The sequence below is a fragment of the Homo sapiens genome, chromosome 20 (assembly GCF_000001405.40).
Source record: "Homo sapiens chromosome 20, GRCh38.p14 Primary Assembly".
Lineage (NCBI taxonomy): Eukaryota > Metazoa > Chordata > Mammalia > Primates > Hominidae > Homo > Homo sapiens.
The window spans coordinates 3,963,092-3,989,578 of record NC_000020.11 but is presented as its reverse complement, the minus strand read 5'-3'; the positions used below and the strand labels follow the sequence as shown (position 1 = coordinate 3,989,578).

At 39.2% G+C, this 26,487-nt stretch overlaps 1 protein-coding gene across 9 annotated transcripts in view; it reads left to right on the top strand.

Annotated features, from left to right (window-relative positions):
* Positions 1 to 26,487, top strand: part of RNF24 (ring finger protein 24) — an 88,248-nt gene that overhangs the window by 25,980 nt on the left and 35,781 nt on the right. For 4 of the 9 annotated variants that reach the window (NM_001134338.3, XM_017027621.2, XM_017027620.2 and 1 more), the window contains exons 2-3: positions 15,179 to 15,247; positions 25,555 to 25,704. In NM_001134338.3, coding sequence (NP_001127810.1) covers positions 15,192 to 15,247; positions 25,555 to 25,704 — 206 coding nt within the window. In that variant the 5' untranslated portion in view covers positions 15,179 to 15,191. Of the gene's footprint in view, positions 1 to 11,496; positions 15,248 to 25,554; positions 25,705 to 26,487 lie in introns of those variants that run through there. The other 5 variants (NM_001134337.3, XM_011529146.3, NM_001321749.2 and 2 more) reach the window with 2 other exon arrangements.

The following is a 26,487-nucleotide window of genomic DNA, read 5'->3' as shown; positions in this document are numbered from 1 at the left end:
AACAACTGTCGTATTTCTATTCTGTCCTGTTCATCTGTCAATTCAAGTGTCAGCAGCACAGGTTTTTCTTTTTTTATTTTTTTTTTTTGAGATGGAGTCTTGCTCTGTCACCCAGGCTGGAGTGCAGTGGTGCAATCTTGGCTCACTGCAAGCTCCGCCTCCAGGGTTCACGCCATTCTCCTGCCTCAGCCTCCCGAGTACCTGGGACTACAGGCGCCCGCCACCACGCCTGGCTAATTTTTTGTATTTTTAGTAGAGACAGGGTTTCACCATGTTAGCCAGGATGGTCTTGATCTCCTGACCTCGTGATCCGCCTGCCTCGGCCTCCTAAAGTGCTGGGATTACAGGCGTGAGCCACCGTGCCCGGCCAGGTTTTTCTTTTTTAGAGTATTTCTGGCTGTGCTTTCATTTTCATTTTTACTTTTAAACTAGAATTAGCCTTTTTACCACTCTTGTCCTCTCAGAAAAGACAAACCCTGTCAGTTTTTTTGAATTGTATCTGCATTAAATTGATAGATTTAAGGAAAATTGACATCTTTATAATATTTAGCGTCTTTACAACCAAGAAGAGGGTATTTTAGTCATTCACATCTTCTTTTGTGTCTTTTATATTTTCTTAATACAGATTGCATGTATTTATTAGTAAGTATTCTTTTTGTTCTTTTAATAAGATTCTTTTTTATTTTACCGTCACCTGCAAATAATCATTTTAATTTCTTCTTTACAATCAGGTTGGTTTTCTTGAAGGATTAAAAAAGATACAGCCATTTTCAAATAACATAATCTATTATCCAAAATATTTTTCAAAAAATTTCATATGGGCCTGGTGCTGTGGCTCACGCTTGTAATCCCAGCACTTTCTGAGGTCAAAGCAGGAGAATCCCTTGAGCTCAAGAATTCCAGACCAGCCTGGGCAAAATAGCAAGACCCCATCTCTATAAAAATAAAAAAATTAGCTGGACTTCATGGTCCATGCCTATAGTTGCAGCTCCTGGGGAGGCTAAGGCAGAAGGATTGCTTGAGCCCAGGAGGTTGAGGCTGCAGTGATCTGTGATTGCACCTCTGCATTCCAACCTGGGCTACAGAGCAAGACCATGTCTCAAAAAAAAAAAAAAAAAAAAGAGTTTCTTTTCATGAGCCATCTCTATATTAATTCCAGTGAATAAGTAGGTTAACATTAATGATAAGTGCTGTTTATTCCAGTTACTGGACACACCAATTTTTTTTATTTTTTATTTTATTTATTTATTTTTTTGAGACAAGATCATTCTCTGTCACCCAGGCTGGAGTGCAGTGGCATGATCACGGCTCACTGCAGCATTGACTTCCTGGGCTCAAGCAACCTTCTCACCTCAGCCTCCTGAGTATCTGGGATCACAGGTGCATATCATCACACCTGGCTAATTTTTAAATTTTTTTGTAGAGACGGAGTCTTGCCATGTTGTCCAGTCTGGTCTTGAACTCGTGGGCCTAAGCTGTCCTCTCACCTTGGCCTCTCAAAATGCTGGGATTATAGGCATGAGCGACCACGCCCAGCCTGAAATACCAAAAAAAATTTTTTTTTTTTATTTTAAGCTGCTGCTGCTGCTGAAGGTGAAGATGCTTACATATGTGATTAGTTACCTATACATCTGGAAAATTTTTGTTTAATTTCCCTAATTTACATGATCTCTACCTATGCTTGCTTGTGTTTTTCTCATATATCTAGCCAGCCTCTTAAGAGTGAATACTCTCTAGTTTACTGTAAATTACTGCCTGCAGTGAAAACTCTTTAAATTATGTTCCCACTCATCCCCTTCCAAGAGTCCAGTACAATCACAGAAGAGGCTGAGCTCTTTAAATATTATGAGAATCTCAGAACCTCTGTTCATGTGGCTCATCGAATCCTCTATTATGGGATTCTTTTCATGGAAACACCAAATTTTTAAGAATCATATTTGTTTTGTGCTCTGCAGATATCTGTTATGCTGACCTAATAGAACCAGGAGCTAATGAGTCTTTAATGTAGACTAAAAATTGGCTCTGAGTAAAGAGGCTCACAGGCCCATTCATCAAACTTGAGAGAGATTTAAAATTAAACATCTGCAGATAATTAGAGGATAGTTTTGAGTGCCAAAATGAGGTATTGCTGTCCTGTTGCGTTTTGATTTTCCTCACAGCAGAAAAAAACATGTTTTCTTGGGAACTAAATCAGCTTTTTTCTAAAATTAAGTAGTTATGGTATTACCCCTAGAGTTTATTTCATGTTGAGATGGGAACCGCTCATTGCTTCGTATTTCTTTTCACACTGCCTTTGTGTAATTATGATGTAAATTTCAACCTGAGAGTATTTTCTTCCTTTATAACTTGTCTTCTATTTCATCCTCCTTCTGTCTCTGCATCACTCTGTGTTGTTTCCCCCTAACCCATATTCCTAAGAGTGCTGCCATCAATTAATCAAAAAACAATGAATCATGTAGAAGTCAATAGTTAAATGTTGATTAGCAGATTCTTTGTAAAAGTATAGGGCTGGGAGTTGTGGCTTACGCCTGTAATCCCAATGCTTTAGGAAGCCAGGGTAAGAGGATCCCTTGACCCTAGGAGTTTGAGGCTGCAGTGAGCTATGATCATGCTACTGCAATCCAGCTTGGGTGATGCAGCAAGACTCTGCCTCTTTTAAAAAAAAGAAAAAAAAGGCCAAGGTGGGCGGATCACGAGATCAGGAGATCAAGACCATCCTGGCTAACATGGCGAAACCCCATCTCTACTAAAAATGCAAAAAAATTAGCTGGGCATGGTGGCACGTGCCTGTAGTCCCAGCTACTTGGGAGGCTAAGGCAGGAAAATTTGCTTGAACCCGAGAGGCCAAGGCTGCAGTGAGCCTAGATTGTGCCACTGCACTCTAGCCTGGGTGACAAAGTGAGACTCTGTCTCAAAAAAAAAAAAAAAATTATACTGCATGCACACTCATGCCTGGGATATAGATGTCAGGAGGGAATTTGAGTTCTACTGAATCTAAGGCACAAAAACAGAAGAAGAAAGGCGCTGGGCATGGTGGCTCATGCCTCTGATCCCAACACTTTGGGAGGCCAAGGCAGGGGGGATCACTTGAGGCCAGGAGTTCAAGACCAACCTGGGCAACATGGTTAAACCCCATCTCTACAAAAAATAAATTCAAAAAATAGCTGAGTATGGTGACATGTGCCTGTAGTCCCAGCCACTCGGGAAGCTGAGGCAGGAGGATCCCTTGAGCTCAGGAGGTCGAGGCTGCAGTGAGGTATGATTGCACTACTGCACCCAATCCAAGCGACAGAGTGAGGAGGGAGGGAGGAAGGGAGGAAGGAGGCAAGGAGGAAAAGGAAGGAAGGAGGAAAGGGAAGGAAGAAAGAAAAGAATTAAATCCATACCTGTGAAAAGAACAGTTAAAAAACAAAGGGAACATGAGACGTCAAATTCTTCTTTGCCCTCAAAGTGAAGTCTCATAAAGATCTAATAGAATGATTTACATTGAAAATAGATTTCATCATTACATAAAAATAGAGAAAATGGCCAGGCATGGTGGCTCACGCTTGTAATCCCAGCACTTTGGGAAGCCAAGGCCTGAGGTCAGGAGTTCAAGACCAGCCTCAAACTGTCTTCAAGGAGAAACCAGACCTCTACTAGGAGAAACCCCATCTCTATTAAAAATACAAAATTAGCCGGGCGTGGTGGCACATGTCAATAATCTCAGCTACTCGGGAGGCGGAGGTAGGAGAATTCGCTTGAACCCAGGAGGCGGAGGTAGGAGAATTCGCTTGAACCCAGGAGGCTGAGGTTGGGGTGAGCCAAGATCGTGCCATTGCACTCCAGCCTGGGCAACAAGACCGAAACTGCATCTCACCAAAAAAAAAAAAAAAAAAATTACTAGGAATATGGCAGAGTAAAAATAGACTCACCAAAATAACAAACATCTGAATTTTTAAAAAATATTCAAGTAGACAAACTTCAATTACGGTAAACAAAGATAGCACCTCAGGCTGGATTTTAGAACTGTGGAACAGCAGCAAAGAGAAAAGCTGTGCACAAACCCAGAGAAAACAATGGTAGCAGAAGAAACAGAAAAAATCCAAAATGTGAAGAAATTGGAATTGTCAGTAACAGGGCTGGAAAGGATAAAAAACACAAAGGCTATTAAAAGGAACTGATCAGGGAAAAAAAATAAGTAGATTAAATGTGAGGCATGGTGCCACACATCTATAAGCCCAGCTACTCTGGAGGCTGAAGCAGGAGGATTGCTGGTGCTCAGGAGTTCAAGTCCAGCCAAGGCAACATAGTGAGACCCTTTCTCAAACAAATATATACATCTGGTTAGAATTAGATGAAAAAAAGCTAAAACATTGCGATGAAACATATTTTAAAATTACAACATCCTTTGATGAAAAAATGGAATCGAAATAATGAGGTAGTCAGTAAAATTAAGGCTAAATGGAAAGATCCCGATTAAAACATAGATGGAATAGACAAATTGATTATGGCAATTCCAATAAACCTAGGTGGTTGTTGTTGTGGTTGTTGTTGTTCCCCCGCCCAACTGCCCTTTAAATAATGGGAAGGAGTGTAAATCGGAGGAAGCCTCAGAAAAGGAAACATTAAAGAAGTTACTGTAGAAAAATAGACTTTTGCCTACAGACTGAGAGGTTTCGGAGTTACTTATTTCCAGATTTGGTACTTAAAGACAAAATACCCAAATACCTACTTGTCAGTTTCTTAAAACTGGAAAGAAGTCTTCTGGTGTATACTGAGATTTGAAAGAAAAAAAAAAAGCTTGAAAGAAAGAAGAGTTATCCTCTGAAGAATAAAAAATAAGGATAACCTCAAACTTTAAACTCAAACAATAGAGAGAAGATACTCTTAGAAAAATGTTTACGGAACACCAGCCATTTCTTGCCTAGCTGTCTGCCTTTTGAAGATAAAAGATTTTTGAACCCTGATCTCTTTTTCCCTGGTGGAACCCTGATGTCTATTTCAAATAATTAAGTTTACAGATTATAAAATATCATAAAAGACTGGGAATACAGAGGGAGACCTTTGAAATATAAGTTGTAGAGACTAGAGCACCTTAAAGGAAGTGAGGCAGTGGTATCATTCAGGAGGGCCAGCTTAGGTGCTGAGGCTCAAAACCTCTCAGTGCAGGATATCCACCGGAGGTGCTGCATTACAGTGTCTGGTCCTCAAATATCCAGAAATGCAGCCTTGCCAGGGATGACTAGGTCCTGGGAAAATCTTGATAACCGAAGCTCACAAGAGGCCATAAAGGTACTCAATGAAGAAGTGAATTACTTCTAATTTGCCAAAAGCTTTCTTTTCTTTTCTTTTTTTTTTTTAAGAGACAGGGTCTAGCTCTGTTACCGAAACTGGAGTGCAGTGGTATGATCTGGTCATAGCTCACCGCAGACTCCAATTCCTGGGCTCAAGCAGTCTTCCCACCTCAGCCTCCTGAGTAGCTAGGACTACAGGTGTACCCCACCTTGCCTGGGTATTGCTATATTGCTCAGCCTGGTTTCAAACTCCCAGGCTCAAGTTGTCCTCCTACCCTAGCCTCCCAAAGCACTGGGATTACTGGCATGAGCCACTGTGCCCAGACTTTTTCACTTGTTTTTTTTTTTTTTTTTTTTTTTTTGAGACCAAGTCTCACTCTGTCACCCAGGCTGGAGTGCAGTGGCGCGATCTCGGCTCACTGCAGCCTCCACCTCCTGGGTTCAAGTGATTCTCCTGCCTCAGCCTCCCAAGTAGTTGGGACTACAGGTGCACATCACCATGCCCAGCTAATTTTTGTATTTTTAATAGAGATAGGGTTTCACCATGTTGGCTAGGCTGGTCTCAAACATCTGACCTCAGGTGATCTGCCCGCCTCGGCCTCCCAAAGTGCTGGGATTACAGGTGTGAGCCACGACGCCTGGCTGATATGTATTTTTATAATTATTTTAGGTGATATATAAATAAAAAGATTACACAGAAAGTCACTGTGTTTAGTTGTCTTAGTGTATATTTTGCAGCTAGTTTTTCTTGGAGTGCTCACTGCTCCAAGCTGGGTATTCTGTGGGTGCTTTATTAAGATTTATTTATATGGCAGTTAGTTGCACCTGCACTAAAATTTTTTCTAGGTTAGGCTGCAAAATAAATATACAAAGAAGTAGCTTTTTTAAATGCTAGAAATAACCAGTTTAAAAAATATAAAGGAAAAAAGACCCCATTTATAATACGTATAGGCAAATATATATATGGTAACTAGGGATAAACTAAAGAAAAGTCCAAAACCTGTATGAATAAGCTATACAAATCTACTGAAAGTAGTAAAATAAAACTAGAATAAATGAAAAGACATACCACGTGCCTGGATGTAAAGACCTCCCTTAGTCCATTTGTGCTGCCATAATAGAATACTACAGACTGAGAAATTTATAATGAACAGGAATTTGTTTCTCACAGTTCTAGAAGCCAAGAAGTTCAAGATCAAGATACTGGCATCTGGCAAGGTACCTGCTGCATCATAACATGGTGGAGGGCATCACATTGCAGAAGGGGAAAGACAGAGAGAAACAAACACAAAAGGGGTCTGAACTCTTCCTTTTATAAGGAACCCACTTCCTTGGTAATGGCATTAATCCATTCATGAAGATAGATCCCTCATAGCCTAATCACCTATTAAAGGTCTCACTTTGTTTGTAGAGACAGGGTCTCACTCTGTCATGTAGGGTGGATGGAATACATTGGCACAATCACAGCTCATTGCAGCCTTGACTTCCCGGGCCTAAGCAGTCCTTCCACCTCAACATCCCAAGTAGCTGGGACCACAGGCATGTGTCGCCACACCTGGCTACTGATTTTTTTAATTTTGTAGAGACAGGGTCTCCCTATGTTGCCCAGGCTAGTCAGGGACTCTTGGGCTCAAGGGATCCTCCCACCTTGGCCTCCCAAAGTGCTGGGATTATAGGTGTGAGCCACTGCAGCAGGCTCCCACCTCTTTTTTTTTTTTTTTTTTGAGACAGAGTCTCACCCTGTTGCCTAGGCTAGAGTGCAAAATGGCACGATCTCGGCTCACTGCAACCTCCACCTCCTGGGTTCAGGCGATTCTCCTGCCTCAACCTCCCGAGTAGCTGGGATTACAGGCACGCACCACCAGGCCCGGCTAATTTTTTGTATCTTTAGTAGAGACAGGGTTTCACCATGTTGGCCAGGCTGCTTTCGAACTCCTGACCTCATGATCTGCCCGCCTCGGCCTCCCAAAGTGCTGGGATTACAGACATGAGCCACTGCGCCCAACCCTCTACCTCTTAATACTGTTAAAATTGTTATTAGGTTTCAAGAGGAGTTTGGGAGGGGACAGATACTCAAACCATAGCAAGACCCATTCTCCCCAAAATAAGCTATAAATTTAATGTACTTTCAATTAACTTCACAATAGCATTTATTTATTTATTTATTGAGAGAGAGAGAGAGAGAGAGAGAGAGAGAGACGAGGTCTCACCCTGTTGCCCAGGCTGGAGTGCAGTGGTGCGATTAGCGCTCACTGCTCCTGGGCTCAGGTGATCCTCCCACCTCACCCTACTAAGTCGCTGGGACCATAGGCATGCACCACCATACCCAGCTAATTTTTATATTTTTCGTAGAGACGGGGTTTTACCTGTTGTCCAGGCTGATCTTGAACTCCTGAGCTCAAGTGATCTGCCCATCTCTGCCTCCCCAAGTGCTGGGATTACAGGCGTGAGTTAGTGTGCCCGGCCCAATAGAATATTTTAAAGACTGGTTTAGCTGAAAAAAAGATTATGTAAGAATAGCCTTGAAAATATTAAAGAGGAAGAGTAGTGTTGAAAATATTGCCCTAGCATATATGAATTAGTGGTATGCTAATTCATATGTAATGTATGTATGTAAAAATATTAAAAAATTAGCTGGGCATGATGGTGCATGCCTGTAGTCCCAGCTACTCGGGAGGCTGAGGCAGGAGTATTGATTGAACCTGGGAGGTGGAGGTTGCAGTCAGCCGAGATGGTGCCACTGCACTCCAGCCTGGAGACAGAGCGAGACTCTGTCTCAAAAAAAAAAAAGAAAAAAAGTGACTCCAAAAAAGGTAGAACTTTAAGACAGTGGAGAAAGAATTTTATAAATGCTGTTGGAATAGTTGACTAAATTGGAAAAACCATTTTAGGTCTTTTTTCCATGCCATAAATTCAAGATGGATTAAACATTTAAATTTAAGGCATAAAACTATGCAAATAAAAGAGAATATAAGTGGGTATTTCTGTCATCTGATGTGGGGAAACCAAAGATAGAAATCGTAAAGCAGGGGCACAAACTCAGTGCCAACAGAAGCCAGGCAGGAAATTGAATCAGCCAAATACACTTGGTAGAAGGCAAAATCATGAAACCATCAATTTCTTTTCTTTTATTTTTTTTGATAGAGGTAGAAATATTTACGTTGAGAAAAATAACAGCCCAAGCACAAGTGGCAACCTACATCTGGTCCAGAATTAGGAAGTGATAAGGAGTGGTAGAAATGGTGACAAATGGCGATTCTGTTGACAATAGGGCCAGGCACACTTACACTGTAACCCATAAGCATTCAGGGCCGCCCCCTCCCCCTGCCCCCCCCAACACACACACACAAATTGTGCAACAACATGGCAGCCTGGGAGCAGAGGCCACTCAGCTCCAGGCTGTTTTTGCCGTGTAAGAATGGAGCCCAGGGTTATTAGATCTGACCTTTTTCTGTATAGAGCTGGAAATTGCTAATTTTATGTTAAATCTCCCAAATCTAAATTATCTCAATCTTTAAAATTTTGTACAGGCCAAACAAAATACTTGTTCAGGCCAGATTCAGTCCAGAGGCCTTGAGTTTATGAACTCTGCTGTAAAGTTGTGGTTTTAGTTTCAGGATTATGCTTACACCTTTAAATGAGTTGGGATGCTTTCCATCATTTTTTTGTATACTCTGAATCAGTTTACAGTAGTTCGCCCTTATTTTCAGTTTCGCTTTCTGCAGTTTCAGTTACTCATGGTCAACTGTAGTCTGAAAATATTAAATGGAAAATTCCCAAAACAATTTGTAAGTTTTCGATTATTCACCATTCTGAGTAGTGTAATGAAATCTCAAGCTGTCGTGCTCACTGCATCTCACCCAGGACGTGAATCATCCCCTGCCCAGTGTCTGCATGCTGTGTACACTACCTGCCCATTAGGGTCTTGGTTATCAGTTCAAAAAAACGTAGGACTCGGTGCTATCCGGGTTTTCAGGCATCCAGTGGGGGTCTGTGAACATATCTACCATCGATAAGCAGGGACTACTGTACATAGCAGACTACTTATCTATGCAAGTTTAGCGAGTTCCACTTTCATTGCCATTGGGGTCTGAAGCCTTTTTTGTGAAGATATTTCTATATTTTCAAGTTTTCTTCTTGAGCCAGTTTTGGTTATATTCCTATAAAATCTATTCTAGAATTTAAAATTAATACTCAAATTATCTCATGGATGTTTTTAAATCTCTGCATAAGAATTTTTTTATCTGTCTCATTCTTAGTGTTTTGGTTAGTTGATTTCAATTCCTTTCATTGTTTTGTTTTAATTCATACATTTTTGTTTGACCTTTATTAATTCCTTCTTCTGGCTTATTTTGTTTGATTTGTTCTTTTTCTACTTTCCAGAATTGAATTCTTGTGTCCATTTATTTTCATTATTCTTTTTTAGATTGATAATACGATCAGTTACACTTATACACCTACACAGTAGCCTGTAAGAATACTTTTCCCATGTTGAAGGTAATGGATTTTTCTCTCAGTATGAGATTTTTTTCCCACAATGTGATTAACTTCTAAATGGTCTGTGATTTGTTTTAGTTACTTACTAGACAGAAGTCATTTTATTTTATTTTATTTTATTTATTTTTTTGAGGTGGAGTTTCACTCTTGTCACCTAGGTTGGAGTGCAATGGCGTAATCTCTGCTCACTGCAACCTCTGCTTCCTGGGTTCAAGGGATTCTCCTGCCTCAGCCTCCTGAGTAGCTGAGATTACAGGCACCCACCACCACACCCGGCTAATTTTTGTATTTTTAGTAGAGACGGGGTTTCACCATGTTGGCCGTGCTGGTCTGAACTCCTGACCTCAGGTGATCCACCCACCTTGGCCTCCCAAAGTGCTGTGCTGAGATTACAGCTGTGAGCCACCACACCTGGCCTGAAGTCATTTTAAAGATTATTTTTTGAATTTATAAGTAGTTTCCTTTTGTTTATCTTTTTATTGTTGAGTTAATTTTACACATTGTAGTCACGTATTGTGGCCTCTAAGAGTTCTGTTCTGTGGAATCTTCCTATAGCATGATAAATAGTTTATCTAAATGTAGATGTTCCAGATTCATATGAAAAGGTGTTTTCTTTGTTAAGACACAAAGTTATACACACACACGCACACACAGTATAGATACGTAGATATATAATATATATATATTATTTGTTTTGGGTTTTTTTTTTTTTTTGACAGAGTCTCACTCTTTTGCCTAGGCTTGAGTGCAGTGGCGCGATCTTGGCTCACTGCACCCTCCGCCTTCCGAGTTTAACCGTTTCTCCTGCCTCAGCTGGGATTACAGGCGCACGCCACCGCGCCTGGCTAATGTTTGTATTTTTAGTAGAGATGGGGTTTCACCATGTTGGCCAGACTGATCTTGAACTCCTGACCTCAGGTGATCCACCCACCTCGGCCTCCCAAAGTGCTGGGATTACAGGCATGAGCCACCACACCCAGCCAATATATATATTATTTGTTAATGGTATTGTTTATGTCCTCTTTTTTGTTATATCTCATTTGGAGATTAATATTTCTATCACTATAAAACATCATTGTTCATATAGCTTTTTAGCCTTTATTTCTACTTTTTTTAAAAATAATTAGCACTCCTGCTTGCTTTCTTATACTTGCCTGCTATATTTTTGTTTATTTTCTTATTGCATCCCGCATTTAAAAATATCTTAGAATCATTTAAAGTGTTTTCTTATAATAAAGCTGAATATTGTTCTTATATAATTTTAGAGTCTTTTTTGATTAAAGCATAGCTGTACATATTTTGGGGGCACATGATATTTTGGTATATGTGTACAATGTATAATGATTAAATCATGGTAATTGAGATATCAGCTCAAATATTTTTCTCTGTTGGGAATATTGCAAATTCTTCTCTTCTAGCTATTTTGAAATATACATTAATTTTTTTTTACTTTTAAAATTTAGTTTTCTTGGCTGGGCGTGGTGGCTCATGTCTGTAATTCCAGCACTTTGGGAGGCCAAGGTGGGCGGATCACAATGTCAGGACTTCAAGACCGGCCTGGCCAACAGGGCGAAACCCCGTCTCTACTAAAAATACAAAAATTAGCCGGGTATGGTGGCACACACCTGTAATCCCAGCTACTCAGGATGCTGAGGTTGCAGTGAGCCGAGATCACGCCACTGCACTCTAGCCTGGGCGAGAGAGTGAGACTCCATCTCAAAAAAAAAAAAAAATTAGTTTTCTTCATTTCGTAGTGTTTGGAATACAACAAAGTATTAACTACAGTTTCCCTATTGCACTGTAAAATACTAGAACTTATTCTTTGTGTCTAACTGTATTTTTGTACGTGTTAACCAGCTTCTCCTCATCCTAGAGTCTTTCTGGGGTTTTTTGTGTGTGTGCCAAATCGTGGAAGCTAGAGCCCTTTTTTTTTTTTTTTTTTGAGACGGAGTCTCGCTGTGTCGCCCAGGCTGGAGTGCAGTGGCGCAATCTCTGCTCGCTGCAAGCTCTGCCTCTGGGTTCATGCCATTCTCCTGCCTCAGCCTCCCGAGTGGCTAGGACTACAGGCGCCCACCACCACATCCGGCTAATTTTTTGTATTTTTAGTAGACACGGGGTTTCACCGTGTTAGCCAGGATGGTCTCGATCTCCTGACCTCGTGATCCGCCCGCCTCGGCCTCCCAAAGTCCTGGGATTACAGGCGTGAGCCACCATGCCTGGCCTAGAGCCTTTTTAAATAGGATTTAAACCATTTATTTTTCTCATGATTTATTTTTCGTTTTGTTCCTACCATTTTATTTTATATTTCTATAATTTGCTTTCTTATGACCCCCCTTCTTCCCCTTTTTACCCTATATTTTGCTGAAATTATCCAGGTTTCTTTGCTGCTTTTTCCTCTCTGCTAGTCATGAAAATTATACATACTGTTTGTGGCTCCCTACATTTTAAAACACGTATTTAGACTTATACTTCTGTAACAACTTTTTAAATTAAGTAGTTATAGCTTTTCAAAATAAAACTATTAGCACAACTTAACTTTCTTCTCCCCGTTCCATCTTCCATGCTTTGCTGAAATAACCTGAAGCCTTAATCTAGATTACTATGGGGGATTTTAATTAGTGGAATGATTACGTACCTATATAAAGAGAAAGAAATGTACTTGAATGTCTGAAAATGTCTTTTTCCTTCTTTCTTTTTTTTCTATACAAATGAAAGATAGTTTGGCTGGATATACAGTTCTAATATCACAGTTCTTTTCCATCAGACCTGTATAGATGTTGCTCCATTGTATATTTTTTAATTAAAATTTTTATTTTAATTATAGACTCACATGCAGCTACAATAAACAGTACAGAAAGATCCTATGTACTCTTTTCACAATTTCCTGTAATGATAACATCTTGTAAAACTATAGTATAATATCATAACCAGGATATTAACTTTGATACAGTCAACATACAGAAGGTTTCCATCACATCAGGGATTTCTTACAGTACATCAAGATAAGTGTACTTATACAGTATGTAACCTGGGATTGGCTTTTTTCATTCACCATAATTATCTGGAAAGTGACTCTGATTATTGCATCTATCAATAGTTTGTTTCTTTTTATTGCTGAGTGGCATTTGACGATGTGCATACCTCAAGTTTGTTTAATCGTTCACCCATTGAATGATATTTGGGTTGTTTCTAATTTTAGACCATTACAGATAAAGCTGCTATGAACATTTGTGTTGAGGTTTGTATGTGAACATAGGTTTTCATTTCCCTGGAATAAATGCCCAGGAGTGCAACTGCTGAGTTGTATGGCAGTTGCATGTTTAATTTTACAAGAAACTGACAAACTATTTTCCAGAGTGGCTATACCATATTATATTCCCACCAACAAGATAAAGTGCTCTAGTTTCTCTGCATTCTTGCCAGCATTTGGTGTTGTTACAATTTTTTATTTTAGCAATTCTGATAGGTTTAATTTAGTAATTTCTCATTGTGGCTTTAATTTCTATTTCCCTAATAGCTAATGATTTTGAACATACGTTTATGTACTTATTTACCATCTGTATATTCCCTTTGGTGAAATATCTCTTTTGCCCATTTTCTAATTGAATTGTTTCCTAGGGCTGCCTTAACAACGTGCCATAAACTGGGTGCCTTAAAACAACAGAAAATCTATTGTCTCACAATTCTGGGGTTTAGAAGTCTGAAATCAAGATGTTGGTGGCCAGGCATAGTGGCTCACACATGTAATCCCAACACTTTGGGAAGCCAAGGTGGGCAGATCACTTGAGTCCAGGAGTTCAAGACCAGCCTGACCAACACGGTGAAACCCCATCTCTACTAAAAATGCAAAGATGAACAGAGCATGGTGGTGCACTCCTATAGTCCCAGCTACTAGGGAGGCTGAGGCAGGAGAATCACTTGCAAAAAAAAAAATAGCAAGGTTGTTCCTTCTGAGGGCTCTGAGAAAGGATTTGTTCATGCCTCTCTTCTGATGACAGCCAGCAATCCTTCAGTCTCTGCTTCTTATATCACTCAGCATTCTCTCCTCCTGTATCTCTCTCTGTGTGTCTCTTTTCCTCTTATAAAGACACCAGTCATATTGGATTACTCTAGTATAACTTTAACTTCTTAATTACATCTGAATTAATTACATCTTCAACAAACCTATTTTCAAATAAAGTCACATTCAGAGGTACTGGGAGTTATATCTTCACCATATCTTTTTGAGAACACAATTCAACCCATAACTGGTTGTTTTTTTACTATTGAATTTTGTGTTTAGATATTAGCCCTTTATCAGGCATACGGTTTGCAAATATTTTTTTCCTAGTCTTTAGCTTCTTTCTTCATCCTCTTGACAGTTTTTCAAAGCAAAAAAAACATTTCATTTCAATGAAGTCCAGTGTATCAATTTTTCCTTTTATACTCCTTGCTTTTGGTGTCAAGTCTGGAGCTTTTTACCTAATCCTAGATCCCAAATATCTTCTCTTAGGTTTTTTGTAACTGTATCATTGTTCTGCATTTTAAGTTTAAGTTCATGATCCACTTTGAGTTGTTTTTTTGTGTGTGAGGTTAAGATCAAGATTCAATTTTTTTGCCTATGGATGTCCCATTGGTCCAGCACTAATTGTTGAAAAGACCATATACTCTCTCCATTGAGAAAGGATTGCACATTTCTCAAAAATCATTTATGCTTATTTGTGTGGGTCTATTTCTGGGTTCTTCATTTTGTTCCATTGACTTATGTGTCTATCCTTTTGCTAAAACCAATCAGTGTCTTGATTAGGCTATGATGAGTCCTTACATTGAATAGACTGATTCCTCTCCCTTTAGTCTTCTTTTTTCAAAATTGCTTTAGCTGTTTTATTTCCTTGTCTTTCTTTCTGTCTACATTTGTTAAACTTGTCTATATCTACAAAAAAAAAATTTGCTGGGATTTTTATAGGAATTATGTTAAACCTATATATCAATTTGGAGAGAATATCTTTCCTATGCTGAGTCTTCAAATCCATGAACATAGTATGTCTCTGCATTTATTTAGATTTTACTTGATTCCTCTAATCATCATTTTGTCATTTTTAGCATATAAGTCCTGTACATATCTAATGTCTTATTAAATTTAATTCTTTGTATTTCTTTTTTTGAACAATTGTAAATGTCATTGTATTTATAATTTCAGTGTTCCTATGTTCATTGCTAATTTATAAAAACACAGTTGATTTTTATATGTATATCTGGTATCCTGCAACCTTGCTGAACTCATTTATTAGTTTTAGAAATTTTTTTGAAGATTCTTTGGGATTTTGTTGTTGTAGATGTTGATGTGGCAAATAGGCTCAGTTTAATTTCTTCCTTTCTGATGTGTATGCCTTTTATTCCCTTTTCTACCTTATTGCACTGGCTAGAACTTCCAGCACTATGTTGAATAAGAGTGGTGAGAGCAGATATCCTGCCTTGTTCCCGGTCTTAGGGGGGTAAGTATTCAGTCTTTCACAATTAAGAATAATATTAGCTGTACAGTTTTTGTTGTTATTGTTTGGTTGGTTTTTGCCGGTTTGTTTTTTGTAGATGCTTTTTAACATGTTGAAGAAGTTCTCTTCCATTTCTATTTCTGGGAGTTTTTTAATTTCTGGGTGCTGATGTTTGTGAAATGTGTTTTTTTTAAATCAGTTAATATGATCATGTGATTTTTCTTCTTTAGCCATTTAATATGGATAGATTACATTGATTTTTTTTTTTTTTAATATTAAGCCAGCCCCGCATCTCTTGAATAAACCTTACTTGGTCATGGTGTTGTAAAATTCTATTTACATATTGCCAAATTCTACTTGCTAATATTTTGTTAAGAATTTTTCTGTCTGTATTTGCCAGACACTGTCTTTATCTGGTTTTGCTATCAAGGTCGCATTGGCTTCAAAAAATGCCTTGAGAAATGTTCCCTCCCATTCTCTGCAAAAGATTGTCAAGGATTTGTGCTCATTCTTATTTAAACTTTTGGTAGAATTCTCTGGTAAAAGCCTCTTGGCCTGGAGCTTTCTTTTTTGTGAATTTTTAAATGACTAATTCAGTTTCTTTGATAGTTATAAAACTGTTCACATTATCTATTTTATATTGGGTGAGTTTTTGTAGTTTGTGTTTTTTGAGGAATTGGTCTGTTTTATTTATGTTACTAAATTTATGTCTGTATATGTGTGTATACCCTTCTTATCCTTTTGATGTCTGCAGTGTCTGTAGTGATCTCTCCTATTTAATTGTTGATATAGGTAATTTGTGTCTTCTCTTTTTTTTTTTTTTTTTTTTTTTTTGTCATTCTTCCTAGAGATTTGTCAGTGTTACTGATCATTTCAAAGAAAAGACTCAGCTTTTTGTTTCATTGATTTTTCTCTATTGTTTTCCTATTCTCAATTTAACTGGTTTCTGTTCTTTAATTTTTAACTTGCCCTTTTTCTGGGTTCTTGATGTAGGAGTTTAGATTATTGATTTGAGATTTTTTATTTTCTTATGTGTGCGTTTAGTACCATGAATTGCCCACTCAGCACTACTTTACCTATGTCTCTCAAATTTTGATATGTTGTATTTTCATTTTCTTTTTTTTTTATTTTGAGATGGCGTTTCGCGTGTGTCACCCAGGCTGGAGTGCAGTGGCACAATCTCAGCTCACTGCAACCTCCACCTCCCGGGTTCAGTCAATTCTCCTGCCTCAGCCTCCCGAGTAGCTGGGATTACAGGCACCTGCCACCACACCCAGCTAATTTTTGTGTTTTTAGTAGAGACGGGGTTTTACCTAGTTGGCTAGGCTGGTCTCAAACTCCTAACCTCATGTGATCCACCCGCCTCGGCCTCCCAAAGTGCTGAGATTACAGGCGTGAGCCATCCCGTCCAGCCCTTTTTTTTTTTTAAACTGAGACGGAGTCTCACTCTGTCGCCCACGTTGGAGTGCAGTGGCGCGATCTCGGCTCACTGCAATCTCCGCCGCCAGGATTCAAGCGATCCTCGTGCCTTAGCCTCTTGAGTAACTGGGACTACAGGTGCGTGCCACCACGCCCGACTAATTTTTTTGTATTTTTAGTAGAGATGGGGTTTCACCATGTTGGCCAGTCTGGTCTTGAACTCCTGACCTCAGGTGATCTGCCCGCCTCGGCCCTCCACAGTGCTGGGATTATAAGCGTTAGCCACCACACCCAGCCTGTATTTTCATTTTCAATCAATTCAGTGTATTTTTAAAAATTTCTTTTAAGACCTCTTTTTGACTTATAGATTATTTAGTAGTGTGTTGATTAGTTTCTAAGTGTTTGGATATTTTCTTGCTACCCTTCTGTTATAAATGTCTAGTTTGATTCAACTATGTCCAGTAACACACTCTATATGACTTCGATTTTTGAAAGGTTGTTTGAGATTTGTTTTATGACCAGGAATGTGGTCTGTCCTGGTGTAGGTGCCATGGGTATTTGAAAAGAATGTATATTTTGCTGTTGCTAGGTAGAGTGCTCTATATATTTTGAGTAGATCCTGTTGTCTAATTGTGTTGTTGAATTTTTCTTTATCCTTGCTGGTTTTCTATCTAGTTGTTTCATCAGCTGTTGGGAGAAGGTTTTGAAGTATTTGAGTATAATTATAGATTTCTTTATATCTCCTTTCAGTTCAGTCAGTTTTTCCTTCACATGTTTTGCAGCTCTGTTGTTTTGTGCATGCACATTTAGGATTGCTATGTATTTTTAGTGGGTTGACCATTTTATCATTAGGTAATGTTTCTTTCTCTCTCTGGTAATTTTATTTTCTGTGAAATCTGCTTTGATGTTAATATAGCCACTCCTGCTTTCTTTTGATTAATGCTTGCATTACATATCTTTTTCCATCCTTTTCAACATGCATGTATCATTATTTTTAAAGTGAGTTTCAGGTAGACAGCATATTATTGGGTGATGTTTTTTAATTCATTCTGCCAGTCTCTGTGTTTTAATTGGCATATTTAAATCATTTATACTTAAGCTTGCCATTTTAAACTTTGTTTTCTATTTGTTTTCACTATTTTTGTTTCTGTTACTTGAGTAATTTTTTGAAGTCCTTTTTGATTTTTTGTAGTGTTTTGAGTGTATGTCTTTGTATAGTTTTCTTACTGATTGCTGTAGGCATTGTATTATATATGCAGTCTACTAGTATACTTTACCAGTTCAGACTAGAAATGTTACCTCCTTTTATGTCCCTTTATCCTCCCTTATTTTTAATATGCTCATCTTAAATATTTCCTCTGAATACATTTAGAACCGGGTTGGACAATTATAATTTTTCTTCAACCACTGAATATAATTTAGAAAACTCAAGAGAAGGAAGTTTATTGTATTTACCCTTATATTTGTTTACCATGTTGTTTCTTCCTTCTTGATGTTCCAAGGTTCCTTTTCTTATCATTTCCCTTCTGTTAAGACAGCTTCCTTTAGTCACTCTTCAAGAGTAGGTCTGCTAGCAATAAATTCCCGTTGTTTTCCTTCATGTGAGGCTGTCTTGATTTCCTGTTTCATTCCTGAAGGGTATTTTTGCTGGATGTAGGATTTTGGGTTGATGGCTCTTTTCTTTCAGCACTTGAAAAATGTGTTCCTTCCTTTTGGCCTCCATTGTTTCTGATGAGAAATCTGTGTCTTTCATATTATTTCCCCCAATGGTATCTCCTTAGTTGCTTTCAAGATTTTTTAGTGTTGTTTTAACTCAATTACCTCTGCAAAGAAAAAAAAAGATTTTGTTGTTGTTGTTTTAGTTTTCAGAAGTTTGACTACGATGTGTCTTGTTGTAGATTTCTTTGGGTTTATTCTCTTTGGAGTTTGTTCAGCTTCTTAAATCTGTACACTTATGTACAGATTCCTCAGCTTGCCGAGTAGCTGGGATTACAGGTGCCCACCACCATGCCTGGATAATTTTTGTATTTTTAGTAGAGACAGGGTTTCACCATGTTTGCCAGGCTTGTCTCGAACTCCTGACCTGAAGAGATCCATCCACCTTGGCCTCCCAAAGTGCTGGGATTACAGGTGTGAGTCACCGTGCCTGGCCCTAGTTCACTTATGCTTTCCCCTTTCTTCTCCATTCTGCTGTTGAGCCCATCGCTTAGTTTTAGTTTTTTTATTTCAATTATTGTGTTTTTCAGTTCTATAATTTCCATTTTGTTCCTCTTTATATCTTCTGTTTCTTTGCTGAGAATTTCAGTGTTTTCACTTGTTTCAAGCATGTTCATAAATGCTTGCTTAAACAATTTGATGACGGCTACTTTAAAATCTTTGTCAGATAATTTTAACATTTTTGTCATTGACATTAGCATCTGTTAATTATCATTTCTCATTTGATTTGTGATCTTCCTAGTCTTGGTACGATGAGTAATTTTTAGTTGAAACCTGGACATTTTGTGTATTATGTTATGAGACTCTGGATTTTTTTTAAACCTGATGTGTTAACTGGCTTCCTTTGACAGCACTCTGACAGTGAAACGGTGGGTTGTAATGCTGCTTCATTAATGCCAGGTAAAGGTAGAAGTCCAGGTTCCCTATTTAGCCTTTATTGACATGGGGGGCGGGGACGGGGCAGGAATGGGAGTTCCAGCTCTCAACTAGGCTTTCACTGATACCTCTTTGGCTGGAAAAGGTAGGAGTGCTTGTTGCCACTTGGTGGTGGTAAAATCCCGATTCTTCACGAGATCCTCCTCTGTCATCACCCCATTGAGGAGGAGTATAGTCACTTTGTTACTGCTGGATAGGGGTAGAAGTCAGGGTCCACATGTAGTCTCTACTGATATCACTGAGGTGGAGCCTCATTTTCACCATGTTGTGTAAAAATTCCAGCTGGCCAACATGGTGAAACTCTGTCTCTACTAAAAATACAAAAATTAGCTGGGCATGGTGGTGGGCGCCTGTAGTCCCAGCTACTCGGGAGGCTGAGGCAGGACAATCGCTTGAACCTGGAAGGCGGAGGTTGCAGTGAGCCAAGATCACACCACTGCACTCCAGCCTGGTGACAGAGCAAGACGCCATCTCAAAAAAAAAAAAAAAACAGATTTCAGCTTCCTACTTGGCCTTTTCTAACACTATCCCAGCAAGATGGCTGGGGGGCATCTCGTTACATCCTGGCAAGAGTGAAAATCTAGGCTCTGCCTTCAGCCTTTGCTGGCATGTCTATAGGGGTGTGGCCATAGTTTTTTCTGGGTTGTTTAGCTGAAGTAGGGCAATTCTTGTTTAAAAGCTTTCAGTCTTGTTAACTACTCCTTTTGTCATCCTTTGGCTAGAGAGAACACGTTCATTAGGGCTTTTTTTTTTTTTTGTCTTCACCTGTTGACATTCTTGTTTGCCAACTTTGCCAGCTCTAAGTCTGGGATATAGGAGACAAAAACAAAGCCCAGAGAACTCGTTAACATGTGGTTCCTTGGGTCCCCAGGTCCCTAGTTAGTGTGCTACCTTCTGTCCAACTTAATGTCCATGGTTTTTAGTTATATTTAGCTGGATAAATAGGGAAATGTATGTCTATGCCATCTTTCTGGAGTCAGAAGTCTACCTGACTGTCTTTTAATGGAGATACAGACAGTGATTCCATTATCTTTTATTGTTGCATTTTAGTTAATAATGAAAACTAACATTTCTCAAGTACACAGTATGTGCCCAGGTACTGTTCTAAGTGCTTTAAGTGCTTTTCGTGTGTTGAGTCATTTAATTCCCTTAAAACTTTATGAAATAGTTACTAGTATTATTCTGTCTTATCAGATGAGGAAACCGAGACATAGAAAAGATAAGAAACAAGCCCCAAATTACTGACAAATCCGTGGTTAAACCCCTGGCTCTCTGACTCCATAAGCCCACTCTAATACTCATGGCCTAGGATAAATCTCAAATCTATATGCTTTCCATTATAACAACTTTTTTTTTTTGGAAACTTATCACAGTTTTTCTATCCTAGAATTCAGAAATTTTACTAGGATCTGTCCAAATATAGGTCTTATTTTTAAAATAATTCTCTCTAGAACCCAGTGTATCCATTTCATCAGAAAGCTTAGGTCTTTCTACTGATCAGTGACATGTTTTTAAAATTTTTAATCTTTCCTCTCATCCACCCACTCAAGAAAAGATTTTGCAGAAGGTGTTTCATGTGGTCATAAAGATACTCAATAAATAACAAAGAAGTTAGTTCCTTCTAATATGTCAAAAGCTTTCTCTTTTAGAGATAGTCTTGCTTTGTCACCCAGGCTGGAGCGTAGCAGTGATATCATAGCTCACTGTAACCTTGAATTCCTGGGCTCAAGTGATCCTCCCATCTTAGCCTCCAGAGTAACTAGTACTACAAGCACATGCCACCATGCCCAACTAATTTTTTAATTTTTATTTTTATTTGTACAGGTGGGGTCTCCCTGTGTCTCCCAGGCTGGTCTCAAATCCCTGGCCTCGAGCAGTCCTCCCACCTCAGCCTCCCAAAGTACTGGGGTTACAGGCATGTACCACTGCACCCAGCCCCTTTCTGAGCATTTTTTTTTTCCTTTGAGATGGAGTCTTGCTCTGTCCCAGGCTGGAGTGCAATGGTGCGATCTCAGCTCACTGCAACCTCTGCCTCCCAGGTTGAAGCTAATCTGCCTCAGCTTCCTGAGAAGCTGGGATTACAGGCGCACGCCACCAGGCCCATCTAATTTTTGTATTTTTTAGTAGAGACGGGGTTTCACCACATTAGCCAGGCAGGTCTCGAACTCCTGACCTCGTGATCTGCCCACCTGGGCCTCCCAAAGTGCTGGGATTACAGGCGTGAGCCACCGCACCCAGCCACCTGTTACATTTTTTATTCTTTCTTTCTTTTTTTTTTTTTTTTTTTTTTGTTGCCAGGCTGGAGTGCAGTGGCGCAATCTCGGCTCACTGCAACTTCCGACTCCATGGTTCAAGGGATTCTCCTGCCTCAGCCTCCCGAGTAGCTGGGATTACAGGCATGCGTCACCACGCTCAGCTAATTTTTGTATTTTTATAGAGACAGAGTTTCACCATATTGGCCAAGATGGTCTCGATCTCCTGACCTCGTGATCTGCCCGCCTCAGCCTCCCAAAGTGCTGGGATTACAGGCATGAGCCACTGCACCCGGCACTTCTGAGCATTTTTGAAGCAAAACTAGAATATTGACTCCTGGGAAGATGATATGGTATTGTCCAGGGAACAGGAACTGGTCTAAGAAGAATGTGGCTACCAAGCATGCTTTGAGGAATGCTACTGCAGCCCCATTTAGCTGTGGTGTATTGTGTTAAACTCAGGTCATGTAGGCATCCAAATCTCAAGTAATCTGTCCCTCTTAGAACTTCTTGGTTCTAAGATTGCTGATAAAATACTCAAATCTTCTTGTCTTTTTTTTTTGTTTTGGTTTGATTTTAATAAACTGACTGGGTGGTTTGAAATTTAGGCTGAGGCTAGAGATTTCAAGAACTGAATTTACATAAGGGGAAAAAAAGGCTTTCACGTGAATGAAGTTGGAAATGCCAAGTAAGCTACAACAGTGTACTGTATGTTCTATTTCTCCTCTTCACTCCCACAAGGAGCAATTACTAAATAACTTATATTTGTAAGACTTCAATAGCAAAGAATGCATATTACTAAGATGATATGTAGCCTTTTATCAATTTATTTTAAAAGATTAATACTTCTGGTGAAAATACATTATGATAAAAATTTTGTAAAAACTAATGTGTCACTGGATCAGGATTAACATCTTGGAATACTCTACCATCTACTTAAAATTGTTGGGCCAACATATCAATTGTAGTGAAGCCATTTTATTTACTAAAACAAAGAGAGAAAAATTCCTAAAATATATTCGCATCAACATATCTTCTACCAGCCTGGATCCCTCTGGTAATTGGGATTTATTAAAAGGCCCTGCCAGGTAGTGAGGACTCACAAAAGTCTCAACATCCAGCCCCCAGCAGCACTAAGGCAGATGTCTCTTCCCTCTGATGACAGTGCTACTACCTCTACTGCTGTGTGTGTCTGAGTCTTTGTACAGAATGCTACAAGAATTGTACCAATTTCAAGAACTCTGCAGGGCAACATTCCCACACCACTGGCCTCACTCCTAGCTAGCCTGTATTAATGGCTGCCTTTGGCCAGACATGGTTTCTAGTTCCTGCATCTGGAGGCCAGGTTGGCAGGCCACCTGACAGAAAGCTGTCAGTGCATGCAGAAGAGCTCCCTGTGGAAGGGGCACTTGGTTTGGTGGAATCCTCTCCAGAGACATGATTTTTGTCAAGGCTTCCTTTATGGTATTTACTACTTTCATTTAATGTCATTCCCTTTCCCCAAACACACACACACACACACACACACACACACACACACACTAAAGCCTTAATAGTTTTGTCCTCTTTGAGTTTTCAGACACTTCATTATCTGCTATCTCATTTTATCCTTTCAGGAATTCCTTAAAGTTGTTAGATTATCCCATTTGAATATCCCATTATCCCATTTGAAAGATGAGAAAATTGAAGTATAGATGGGCCAAGCTCTGACATTTAGCTAGTGACATCCTGGGAGCAAGCATCCAGCTTTGCTGACTGCAAACCTCTCCGTCTTTCTACCATACCACTTTCTGTCACTTGCCTATTTCCTCTTAGCTTGCCCAGTACAGATGTTTATTCTCTTATTTTCTTCTTTTTTTTTTTTTTTTTTTTTTTTTTGAGATGGAATCTCGCTCTGTCACCCAGGTAGAGTGCAGTGGAGCAATCTTGGCTCACTGCAACCAACCACCTCCCTGGTTTGAGCGATTCCCCTGCATTAGCCTCCTGAGTAGCTGGGATTACAAGTGTGTGCCACCACGCCCAGTTAATTTTTGCATCTTTAGTAGAGACACATTGTCGCCATGTTGGCCAGGCTGGTCTCGAACTCCTAACCTCAGGTGATCCACCCACCTCAGCCTCCCAAAGTGCTGGGATTACAGGTGTGAGCCACTGCACCTGGCCTAATCCCTTATTTTCTAAGGTGAGAGATATTTTACCAAGCCAGTCTTGTCTGGGGAGGGATATTTCTAAGGGATTAAAGGACAGCCATCTAAGTCTTGGCTATAACAAGGGTCATCAAGTGAGGCCCTGTCAGCAATATGAAAGTTAAGAGCTGAGTTTTGTGCCCTGTAATTTTCTAATAGCTCCACAGCGTATGTGCTATGTATATTTGGTAAAGCACTCCTTAACTACATCCTTCCTTCCCTTCGTAAGAAGATCTGAATGTAGGAAAAAGGAAATTAAATATGTATTTGAGTAAAAGCACTTGCTCTAACTGAGCCAACCCAGAAAATGGCCAAAGGTTCAAAATTAAATATTACCCATTATTTATGTTTGGAAGCTGTCAGAGAAGAATTTACATGGGATGAAGTTGTTCTTTGCAGGTACTGACTTCCTGATATATGTTACTAGAGACTGGAAACTAATCATAAGATTTAGATTTCAGATACAGCCAGTTAGCATCTCAGTGGTGTCAACAGTATAAATATACTCTTCTGGGAACCTACAAGAAAACTAAAAATCTGTGAACACATTTTTAATTTACCATGCATAAATAAAAGTAGAAGTTTTCTTTGCTTGGTAGAGTTTTGTTTGGGTTTGGATTTGTAGTATTCATAGTTATAATTCCATTGTCAATCTTTGGTCTTAATAAGCAGGCCTGGCAGGAACTCTTTATTTTGTAAGGAATCAAAATGACAAACTACAGCTTATCACTTACAGGAGAGGCATCCTTTATCTGTGGAATTTTAACTGTAGTAATCAGTAAGTATTCTCAAACAAACTGACAGAAATAGTCCTTTTTTTTAATGTTTAAACAACACTTACTGTTTCTGATTATAAAAGTAACACATGAGCAAGGCAGTGGAGCATATGGACTGAGACTGCTGAGTTTGGAGTTGGAGAGGCTCTGGCTGTGTACATACCGGGTCAGTCATGGCCATGGGACCAGAACTGTCTAAGCTTCAGTTTCCTTGTGTATAGAATGGGGAGAAATTGGCCGGGCACAGTGGCTCATGCCTATAATACCAGCACTTTGGGAGGCCAAGTAGGGATGATTGCTTGAGCCCACGAGTTCAAGACCAGCCTAGGCAACATGCTATCTCTACAAAAAAATTTTTAAAAATTAGCTAGGTGTGGTGGCACGCGCCTGTAGTCCTAGCTATTTGGGAGGCTGAAGTGGAAGAATTGCTTGAGCCCGGGAGATTAAGACTGCAGAGAGCTGAGATCACACCATTGCACTCCAGCCTGGGGTGACAGAATGAGACCCTGTCTCAAAAGAAAAAAAAAATTACTTGAAAATGTTTTCATGACCCTTTAATACTATAACATATGACTATATAATTAATCATATTTCCTTGTGAGATATCTCAGTTATTTCTAATATTTTACCATTATAAATATTGTTACTTCAAGGGTTGAGTTATTAGGTTAAAGGCTAAAGAGTTTGAAGAATCTTAAAACTTTTTTTCTTTTTGCACTTCTCTGAGGTTGAACATTTTCATGTTTATTAATTACTGGCATTATTTTAGTGAAATGCCTTTTAGTGAATAAATGCAACTTGCAAAGCTTTTTATATTGGATCTCCAGTCTCTGAAATAGTGCCAGGTACATAATACTCAGTAAATATTTGGCATGGTGAATGAATGAATGAATGGCAAGAATATTAACACTTTGTCTACCATATTTGTTTCAGATGAGGTCATTGTGCCTCTATACGTGCACAATGATAATGCTGTCTTGGTTCTTAGTCTTTACCTATTTTTTTTCCATTCTTTTCTTCCCCCACAGTTCATCCATGAGCTCGGATTTCCCACATTACAACTTCAGGATGCCTAATATTGGATTCCAGAATCTGCCTCTCAACATATATATTGTGGTTTTTGGTACTGCTATATTTGTCTTCATCCTTAGTTTACTCTTCTGTTGCTACTTGATTAGGTAACCAATTTTCATTCTATGTTACTTCAAAATATGTTAAATAATCAATAATCAAGTTTCTGTCCTCAGATTTTTTTTAAAATGAAGTATGATAATTGGCAAATTTTTAAAAAATTAAGATGGCTTACCGTTTTAATCTGTGCATTAGTAATCAGTAAAACACCTTTATATGATCTTCAATCTTATCTACTGATGAAGTGTTTTACTCTGTAGGAGAAAATTGTCCTTATTTATTTTTCTGCCCTTCTACCTGGTAAACAGATACACGTATGTCATTGTCTATCTCCAAGATTTAATCTACTCTCACAGAGATTTCAAAATTGCTTTTCAAGGTGTGGCTTCCTTGTTAGCTAAGGTCATTAGGTATCAGAAAAGTAGGGAAGGCTGGGCGCAGTGGCTCATGCCTGTAATCCCAGCACTTTGGGAGGCCCAGGCGAGTGGATCACCTAAGGTCGGGAGTTCTCGACCAGCCTGGCCAACATGGTGGAACTCCGTCTCTACCAAAAATACAAAAATTAGCTGGGCGTGGTGGCTCATGCCTGTAATCCCAGCTACCTGGGAGGCTGAAGCAGGAAAATCACTGGAACCCAGGAGGTGGAGGTTGCAGTGAGCCAAGATCGTGCCATTGCACTCCAGCCTAGGCAACAGAGCGAGACTCTGTCTCAAAAAATAAAATAATAAAGAAACATAGGGGATGCTCCTTATATCTCATAGATATGTTGACTGCTTATGACTTTTATTTCTTCCTCCAAATTAATTAAATACTTGAGACAAATATAATTG